At 36.3% G+C, this 10,993-nt stretch overlaps 1 annotated feature.

Annotated features, from left to right (window-relative positions):
• Positions 940-1,579: an enhancer, noted in NCBI's record as "OCT4-NANOG hESC enhancer chr5:87050992-87051631 (GRCh37/hg19 assembly coordinates)". NCBI's record gives its function as "activates a minimal SCP1, AML or CMV promoter by ChIP-STARR-seq in naive H9 embryonic stem cells {active_cell/tissue: H9 hESC(naive)}" and the evidence as "EXISTENCE:reporter gene assay evidence [ECO:0000049][PMID:30033119]".

Genomic DNA, 10,993 nt, shown 5'->3' on the forward strand with positions numbered 1-10,993 from the left:
GCAGAATTCATGAAAGATCTACTCTAGTATGTAAATCAGTTCTTGCTAAACGCCTTGTAATGGAGTTCCTTTATTTTTCAAAGCTGTTGTCAGAGCTACTCACATACCCTAGAAAGACACTTACTCTGTCTCTTTCTCATGTTTAAAACCCAACTACAGTGGGCAAAAATAACATATTTGTTTACTTGTCATGCAGTCTGCACTGTAAATAAATCATCTGATAAATTACTTCCCAAAAAAGAACAGAATGAGATTCATTTCCTTTAATGTTGTACCGGTGGGGATGGCAGAATTATTCTCCCTGTTAGCCCAGGGTGACAGTATGCTGGTCTGCTAACTTACCTGAGTGTTGAGAGAAGCACTAAATTTAGCGTCTACCACCTGGCACGAGTAGGTGAAAAAAATGAGGAGTAAATTTGATTTAAATTACTTCTCAGTTGGGTCTTTGGTTTGTCTTACCTTGCTAAGCCCTCACTGACTGATTTCAGTACCTTTTGCATGTTCTTTGAGATCTAGATATGGGTTAATCACTCAGATCTGTAAGAACCAGACTTTGGACAATAGAAAATCTGCCCTCTAGAAGTAAAGAAAATGAAATCAAGGAAATAGAAAATTGTATCTTTATTTTCCACTTCTGAAAAAATGTATACATGTTTCAATTTAATTTGAGTTTTAGATTGTATAATTTGTGGCTAGTTCTTATTTTAAAAAATGAAATAATATATGTAAAGTGCTTAGCAAAGTACCTAAAATAAATGCCTAGTAAATGGCAGTAGAAATTATCCTTCGAGGTGGTGTTGGAGGTGTTATTATTATCATTTATTTTCTTTTATAGCCTGGAAATCACTAGTATTATAAAAAGTACAATGCAAATTTTATGTTTTAATCATTTTCAATATATATTAATAAAAGGCTTAGTTTTAGCATGTAGAGGAGATGTAGAATTTGAAGGTTCAATTTGATCATCTCAGCTGTTCCGTAAATGTGTGTACTTTATATGACTGCTTAAAGAGAGGCAGTTTAGTGATTCAGATGTCTTTAGAGTTATGCACACCTGGTTTCCATCTCAGTTCTACCATCGTGTGACCTTGAGCAAATTATTTAACTGCACCAAGGCTCAGTTTCCTCTTTTGTAAAATAGAAATAATGGTTGTAAAGATCCAGTGGGATGACATGTGTCAAACATTTGACAGTATCCTGGCACACAAAAATGACTCAATCATTGGTAGAGACACACTCTTAATGTGCCAAAAACTTTCCTTTTCTTATGCTGAAAGACACAGGGAGGATTCTTTAATCCCCATCAGGGGTGCGATTGCCGTCTTTTCCTCTTACAAAGAGCAGGTTCTCCTGCCCACTAACGCTCGGAGGAGCTGAGAAAACAAGCCATCTAGAAGCATTCCATGTTGTTGCCTTCTCCTCGATTATTCCCTGAGATTTACATTAGTATGTCATTAGCAGTCAATGAGAGTCAGATAATTAAAGCTGCTTTCATTTAAAACAAAAGCAAAACCAACCACTTTTAATAAATAGAAAATTCTGAAAAATTAAAATTTAAAAGTGAAAAATTATCTGTATACATTTTTCTCTTACTGGATATTTTTAGGAAAACAGGAAAATACCTCTGTTTCATAAGCTTTCATTCTATCATGAATTCCAGCATATTTATTTAAAAATTTTTTGGAAATGATAGAATATTTGTGGCAGTATTAATACTATATTTCCTTAAAATATGAAAAATTAGTTATACTATAAGTGGTTTTTCACTGAGAACATTTTTTGGCTATTAACACAAGTGTTTTGATATGCTTCTATGGATCCATTTCTTCCTAAAGCTCTATTTATATCATATTTGATTTGTGAGATATTAAATTATATCTCAGATATACTTTTATCTATAATAAGAAATTACAGGGTAATTTTACTACATTGAATTTAAACAGATTAAAAAATATGACTGAACTTGGATTTTATGTGGAAAAGAGGTTCAGCATTGTAGCCTATGTTCCTCATCCTCAGCTGTTATCAGTATGAGGAAGTAAAGTTAGTTCTATAGGAAAAAGCTTTCGGAGGAAGACCATTATTCTTTTATGAGAAAACAGAGCATCCATTATGCTTCATATTTATTATTTCATTGCTTCGAGTAGATTTATTTATTTTACTTTATTTTTATTTATTATTAATATTTTTTGATTGACAAATCATAATTATATATATTTATGGGGTACAAGGTGATGTTTTGATATATGTATTCAATGTGGCATGATGAAATTAAACTATCATATCCATCACATCACTTACCTATCACTTTTTGTTTGTTTGTTTGTTTGTTTGTTTGTTTTTTGAGACGGAGTCTCACTCTTGTCACCGAGGCTGGAGTGCAGTGGCGTGACCTCGGGTCACTGCAACCTCCGCCCCCTGATTCAAGCGATTCTCCTGCCTCAGCCTCCTGAGTAGCTGGGATTACAGGCGCCTGCCACCGTGCCGTGCCCGGATAATTTTTGTAACTTTTTTAGTAGAGACAGGGTTTCACCATCTTGGCCAGGCTGGTCTTGAACTCATAACCTCATGATCCACCCGCCTCAGCCTCCCAAAGTGCTGGGATTACAGGTGTAAGCACGCCCAGCCCACTTACCTATCATTTTTTAAGGTGAGAAATTTAAAATCTACTCTCTAAGTTATTTTGGAATATATAATACATTATTTTTGACTATAGTCACCCTGCTGTGCAATGTCTTTCAAAACCTATTCCCCTGGTCTATCTAAGCTTTGTACCCTTTGATCAACAATTTACCATTCCCTCTCTCCTTTTTCTTTTCCCCCAGTCTCTGGAAGCCATCATTCTACTCTCTACTTTTATGAGTTGCACTTTATCAGATTCCACATATAAGTGACATCATCTGGTATTTGTCTTTCTGTGCCTGGCTTGTTTACTTATCATAATGTCCTCCAAATTCATCCATGTTATCACAAATGACAAAACTCCCCATTCTTAAAGGTTGAATAGTATTCCATCGTGTGTATACACATTTTCTTTATCCATTCTTCTACTGATGAACACTTAGGTTGTTACCATATCTGGACTATTGTGAATAATGCTGCAATGAACATGAGAGTGCAGTTATTTCTTCAATATATTGATTTCTGTTCCTGTGGATATATACCTACAAGTGGAATCACCGGGTTGTATGGTAGTTCTACTTTAAGTTTTCTGAGGAACTTAATTTACATTCCTACCAACAATGTATAAGGATTGCCTTTTCTCTGCATCCTCTCTAATGCTTATACTTCATCTTTTAAATAAAAGCCATCCTAACAGGAGTAAGGTTATCTTATCATGGTTTTAATTTATATTTCCCTAATTAGTGAGTGATACTGAGCATTTTAAAATGTATCTATTGACCATTTGTGTGTCTTCTTTTGAGAAATGTCTGTTCAGGACCTTTGTCGAGTTTTAACTGGATTGTTTTCTTACTATTGAGTTGTTTGAGTTTCTTATATATTTTGGATATAGACCCCTTATTAGGTATATGGTTTGCAAATATTCCCTCCCATTCTGTGGGTTGTGTCTTTACTCTGTTGGCTATTTCCTTTGCTGTGCAGAAACTTTTTGTCTGAAGTTATCCCATTTATCTATTTGTGCTTTTGTTGCTTGTGACACAAAAATAGTTAGAATAGGCCACAAAAAATAATGAAAGAATGAATAAGACTTAGTATTTGCTAGCACAATGGGTGACTCTAGTCAAAAATAATTTAATTGTACATTTAAAAAGAAGAGTATAATTGAATCATTTATAACACATAGGAGAAATGCATGAGGTGATGGATATCCCATTTACCCTGATATGATTATTATGCATTACATGCTTGCATCAAAATAGCTTGTGCAACCCATAAATATATACATATACTATGTACCCAAAAAATTAAAAAATATATATGATATTTGAAAAGATACAACATATTGATAAGAGCAGATGTTAAGTGTTCTCACCATCAAAAAAAAATGAGTTAAGTATATGAGGTAACAAATATATAAAGTATTTGATTCAGCCATTCCATCATATCAAAATATGGTGTACATCATAAATATATATAATTTTTATTTTTGTCAATGAAACAGATTTTAAGAAAAGGTTATATCTAAAAAATAATGGCCTAACCCAACGTTGTGAAGCTTTTCTCCTATATTTTCTTAGTAGTTTTACAGTTTCAGGTTTTTAGTCCATTTTGAGTTGATTTTTGAATATGGTGTAAGGTAAGGGTTTACTTTCATTCCTCTGCATGTGGATATCCCGCTTCCCAACACTATTTACTGAAAAGACTGTCCTTTGCCCATTGTGTGTTTTTGGCACTTTTGTCAAAAATCTGTTTACTATTAATGCATGGGTTTATTTATGGGTTTTCTATCCTATTCTATTGGTCTATGTCTGTTTATATTCTAGTAACATGCTGTTTTGATTAAAATCACTTTATAATATGTTTTGAAATCAGGATGTATGACACCCTCAGCTTTGTTCTTTTTGCTCAAGATTGTTTTGACTATTTGGGGTCTTTTGTGATTACACGCAAATTTAACCATTGCTTTTTTCTGTGTCTGTAAAAAAATCACATTAGAATTTTGATAGAGATTGCATTGAATCTGTAGATCACTTTAATAATATAGACATTTTCATAATATTAATTTTTCCAATCCATGAACACAGGCTATCTTTCCATTTATTTATGTTTTCTTCATGTTGCTTCATTTTAAAGAAATAGATAACTGCCTATGGCCTCAAGGAGCTCGATTCCTTGTTGAGACTGGTCAGACATACATGGAACTTACTTATTGTTAGAGAATATGGAAGTTTGGGCATAAGTGGTTTTTCAGTTGAGACTATATAAGACATTTGTCTATACAAATCTTCTGAAATTGCAATTCCAGTGTTAATAGGAGAGATAATTAGTTAAGATCAACAAAAGCTTTTTTTTTTTTCTTGATTGGAGAAAGGCCAGGAAAAGAGCCCTCCTTGAGCATAACTGAGTCTCAATGAATTTGGGCTAAAGTGAGATAGGAATTGAGTGGAAGAAAGTGAGAGCAACAAAACTTGAAGTTTCTCCTTTCTGACTACTGCTGTTCCTTGATAAAGAGATGGTTATGGTCATCCAAGTTAATTATAATTTCCTGCTCATAGTGTTTGCTGAGAATATTTATTTATTATAAGTACTACTATGGAGTTTTCTATATGCCAGGTACCTCTCTGATTACCTTATAACTACGAACTTATTTAATCTTCAAAACAACCCTATGAGTCATGAATCATTATTAACATCTCCATTTTATAGGTGAGCGTACTGCAGCACTGAACAATTAACTAACTTGCTTAAGTTCTCCTAGCTAGAAAGTAGTTGGGCTGGGATTGCAACTCCAGACAGTTCGGCTCCAATGTCTGTGCTCTTATCCACCAGCTGAACCATGCTGCATCTCCAGCAAGCTGCTCTAGTCTTTTTGTCAGGCAAAAGTGAAATTGAGTAGAAGGAGAAGATGGGTGGCAGAGGAGAGTTGATAGAAACGTGTCACCTATTCAAGGTCACCAGATTGCATATCTGGCATCCTTGTGAGTCCAAAGTTGATGCTATGGCTGATTACAGCAAACTCTTATTAATTCATCAAGCAACAAACCAGAATTCAATAACATTAATTAATTGACTTGAGGTTAAATTCTTCCCAGTGTTTTGTTAAAGAATGCATAACATCTAATCAGTTAAAGACTACCAGTGACTTTGAATTACATATCATTTTGAATAAATCAGCACTGGTTTAACAAACCTTACTTATAATTAGTTATTAATAGTTATATCTTTGTTGGTATAAAAAACCATTATTGATACCAGTTTATTTTAAAAGGACTGTAATTGGAAGCAATTGCCAAGACTTCTTATTGTTCTTTTAGGATCCTGGAAGAACAAATGATTAAGCAGCCAAGTGTTTCAGCTATCATCTTTGCTTCTCAGTGGATTAACCCTTCCTCCTTATAGCTACAAGGAAATGAGAAGGAAAAGAAATGTGAATAGCCCTAGGAGAAATCGCCATGTTTTTTGAAAATCCTTGGTCTCTGAATATTTCCCACTGCTAATATAAAAAATGGGTGGAATAGGCCCAATAACCTTCCATGCATTTGTAGGTCTGTGTGTGTCGGGATCTGTGTTTAAAAGAATCCTGCCAACTACCAATGATATAACACTTACACACAGAAATGCCATTTCAAAAATAAGACATCATAATCTTAAGACAATTTAATTTTCTTGGATATCTAACTTTTGCTTTCTGAGCAAGGATCACTAAGTTAGAGTTAAGACTATGAACTTCAGAAAAACTGAAATCCCCTATGTCATTATCAGGTTTGCTATGTGGTAAGGACCTCTTTTTGCCTCCTTTCCTCCTCTCTCACCTAGCCACACAAGCATATGTGCACACACACACTGATACACATTCACATACAGATGTTGCATTTATAAACCACAACACTCTGCGGGAAGAACTGGCATCAGCTGACTTTTTTGTCTGATTTTTCTTCTCACCACCAGAGAGGACAAACCCATCAGCAATTAAATTGACTGATTTGGATTTTTTAAAAATATTCACCTGCTCAGAACTAAAATCACTGCTTGGGTGATGATGTCAGTGCTGCCTTTGACCACTTTAGAGGCTTTCCTCTTTGCTCACTTCTTTCCAGAATTCCCTCGCTGCATTCCCTACAGTCCCTCATGAATCCCTTCCTGTTGGAGTGAGGCTTTCAGCCTCCTCCTCTGTGAAATCAAAGTTCACATTTCCTATTAACCCATTGCCACTCTGATACATTTTGGTGCAAAACTTCTTTATAATTTCTATTAAGTGTAAATTGCTGTATAGCTCATGGGGGACACAAGCTAATTTGCAAAATTCAGCAATCCTCAGTGGCCATTCCTATCAATAGGGTCAATGAGCTATTGTGCTTGATGAGAGAGTGAATGAGGGGATGAGTGAGTGAAAGAGCAAGAGGCACTGTCCTTTCTCTTAATATATTTAGTATTCTCCTTATTGGTGCTGAAATGAGCATAGTTTTAAGACTTCTAAGAGGTCCATGCAGAGAGAGCTCAAAAATGACGTGAAATACAAAGCCTTGTGGCTACTTGCAGACACACAGTGATGGTGTGTTGGAAAACAAAATTTGACGGCTATACTCGTATTATGCATGTGACAAATGTTGGCACAAATAATTTATTTCTCTAAAGGAATTTACCTTAATACTTGTAAATGGAAGAAGGGATGACAGTACTATTTTCTATGTTGAGATTTTTTTTTAAACAACTAGTATTTTTTAAGATGTCTGTAGCAATCATCTTTGACACTTTATTTTTTATTTTATTTTACTTTAAGTTCTGGGATACATGTGCAGAACGTGCAGGTTTGTTACACAGGTATACATGTGCCATGGTGGTTTGCTGCACCTATCAACCCATCATCTAGGTTTTAAGCCCTGCATGCATTAGGTATTTGTGCTAATGCTCTCCCTCCCATTGCCCGCAACCCCCAACAGGCCCTGGTGTATGATGTTCCCCTCCCTGTGTCCATGTGTTCTCATTGTTCAGCTCCCACTTATGAGTGAGAATATGTGGTGTTTGGTTTTCTGTTCCTGTGTTAGTTTTCTGAAAATGATGGCTTCCAGCTTCATCCATTTTTGACACTTTTTAATGACTCATTTGTTGATCCCATTCAAAGCTTTAAAATACTACTGTTTAAATCTCTGATGATAAATGTTTTATTGTCATTCTTTGGTTAAATATGCACTATTAAAGAAAGTAGGAGAAGCTCAACGGAGTCCAGTCTCCCATTGACATTCAAGGGCTTTATATGTCTAAGATCCATCAAGGTTAATGAAAGTTGCCTCTGCAATTCCTTAGGCACTTGTGGGAGAATAGATCATTTAATTTCTACTCAGATGGCACCCCCACATGGAGTATCTGATCTGTTGGAGAAGTAAAAGACACAAGTTGGATGAACTGGAAGCTGACACACACAGCAGGTCATGTAAAATTGAAATTAACTTTTCTATTTGTCGTTTTCCTAATTAACAATATGTGACCAAACTACCAGAATGAAATATTATTTAAATCTTTTTCACCCCATTGGAACATTTACTCTGCCCTCATAAAGCATAGTGAATTGAGGCATGGGCAAAATTTAAGGACAATCACTAACAGAACAAAATAAAATTTAGTTTTGGAAATCACAGGATTTTCAAGTTTCAAATGGAAAGGCCAAATCATCTGCTCCCGGCTTTATATTATTGAAAGTCATATTTCAACAGTCTACTATTCATCCCCGGTCACTTGAGCTTAGTTATCATGAATGAAAATTGTGCTCTCTGCAAGATGTTGCCCCTCATAGGGAGCAAATACTGGGTTGGAATGACCATTAATGTGATTTTGTATGAAAACAAAAAAAAATTATTGTAAGTCATCTTACTTGGCTTTTTAGCAGAAAATATGACTCACAAATGATACCTACAAAGTAAATACAAAAGTACATTGCAACCTTTGTAGTTTCTTAAGCCTACCAGTCAAGTCAGAGGAGCTGGTTTCCAGGTTTATCCCAGACCGTCACTACCCCTGGGAGGCCTCATCTGATTTGATCTGCCACCACACCTCTGCCTTACCAGCTACCCTCTATGCTCCTCTGCCTCCTCTTCAGTCTCTCTGGTTCCTTTCTATTCTTCCAACACAGCCAACACCTGCTATCAGGACCTCTGTACTTCTGGTTTCTTCTGCCCAGAAAACTTCTCCTCCTTTATCGGCAGGGTTCCCTCCAACAATTGACTTCGCATTTTTGTTCAAATGTTGTTTCATCAAAGGTATGTTTCCTGATAATCATTTATAAAATAGCACCTTATCACCTTCCACCCCCTTTCCACTGCTTTATTTTTATTCCTATCACTTATTAACAGATGACATATACTTATCTTTTGTTAATGTCTCCTTCTCCCCACATCACTACTAAAATATAAGATGCATGAGGGCCAGTTTTATCTGCTTCTGTTTCCTCGGCTTCAGAAAGAGTGCCTGACCCATAGCGGGTCCCCAGTAAATATGTTGAGTGAATGAATGAAGAGCTTCTCTTTTGGCCCATTTCTAACAGCAGCACAGTTAATAACAGAAACTTGAGTTTGTAGCTTGAGACTGGAGTTTAAATTAAGACTTCATAATTTATGAGTTATAAAACATGGAGCAAGACAAATGACATCTCTTTGAGTTTAATTCTCCGTATCTGTAACATGATTAGAATAACACCTATCTTACTGAGGTATCTAAAAATATAAGTCAGTGTCCATTATGGAGTCACTATTGAAACGCTTCATGACATAGTAAATGTAAATTCTCTTCTAAATGTGTGGAATTTAAGAATCATCATATTTAAAAATTTTTATTTTTCTAAAGCAGATAAAACTGCTTCAAGTCCCTTCTTAATTGAATGGAGAGAAAATGTTTCTAAAAATGACGTTAGAAATAATTTGAGAATCTACTCCTTAGGTCATATAAGAATTCTAGGGTCCTACACATTCCAGGTTGTTCTGTGGGGCATCGTCTCATCTTCAGTCCATATTGGCTACCCTAATAGACTCATTGTCTGAGACAGCAGGGTCTCAGGTGGCTCCACTGTTCTAAATTGAAGACTCAAGTCATAACGTCCACCCTCTCTAGGTATTACCATAAATGCTTCCATCTGAGGTCTAGCCATCTCTCTATGATGTTGCATGGTACCAAAGCCCTGGTCCTTTCATCTGCAGAACTGGCAGGACCCTAGTTCCTTCCTTCTGCTATCTCCTAAAAACTAAATCTTTCTAAACCTCTCTTACTTCTCCAATTGGCCCTCCTAATCCTTGGGGGTGGGGGGTGGGCCTTCTCCCTATTGATAAATATAGCCCCATCATTTCTAAGAGTCTGAGTTTTTCCAAACCAAAGTACTGGATCTTTGGATCCCTGGAAATATGACAACGTCTAAAGCACAGAAAGACAAGGACTAGACAGTTTTTGCAGGATTATGTGAAGGGAAATAAGTATATCAGTAAGAATAGAGCACAAATTATTCTATTAATTACTCTGCCAAAATTGAATTCAATCAGGATTCTTGAAAGTGGGAAAAATACACTGGAATGCTCTTTCATCTCAATCATATTAAACATCCTATAAAGAAAGTTGTACGTCAACTTAGAATTTTTGTATGTTTAAGTATCAGGTGCTTTCTATAACCAAAGGGGTCAATTCAAAGAATAGCAGTCAGAACACCAACCATAAAACTGACTTTATGGACCTGAGCCTCATCAGAGTAATTTTGGAACTCTTCCTCGAGTCCCTTCCTTCTTAGGTAGCTGATATAAAGCTTGCTGCTTCTAGTCAGTTTTTCTTTCTTTCAGTGATGCTGTTACTTTAGTCACCTTACATTTTCAAGTTCTGGGCACAAAGCTACCCCTCGAATATTAACTTTCTGTGGCATCACAGAGTGACAGCCAATAACTGGGTTATTGGTGTTGCCACTTTTTTTTCCTAATACCAGAATTGTAAGTGGAGAAAAGCTTCCTTTGGTGGTCCCCAAGTCTAGTACTTGTAACTTCTACTAGCAGCTGAAATCTTCCTCACACTTCATATCTTATTCCTAGAAACTCAGTCAGGAAACCTTGACAAACTCCTGCTACCTCTAGAGCAGCGATCCCCAACGTTTTGGCACCAGGGACTGGTTTCGTGGTGTGTGTGTGCGGGGGGGAGGTGGGGGACTGGGGGGTGGTTTCAGGATGAAACTATTCCACCTCAGATCACCAGGCATCAGTTAAATTCTCATAAGGAGCCCACAAGCTAGATCCCTCGCATGTGCAGTTCACAATAGGGTTCAGGCTCCTGTGAGAATCTAATGCCACTGCTTATCTGACAGGAGGCAGAGCTCAGGTAACAATGCTTACCCGACAGCCACTCACCT

The sequence above is a fragment of the Homo sapiens genome, chromosome 5 (genome assembly GCF_000001405.40).
Source record: "Homo sapiens chromosome 5, GRCh38.p14 Primary Assembly".
Lineage (NCBI taxonomy): Eukaryota > Metazoa > Chordata > Mammalia > Primates > Hominidae > Homo > Homo sapiens.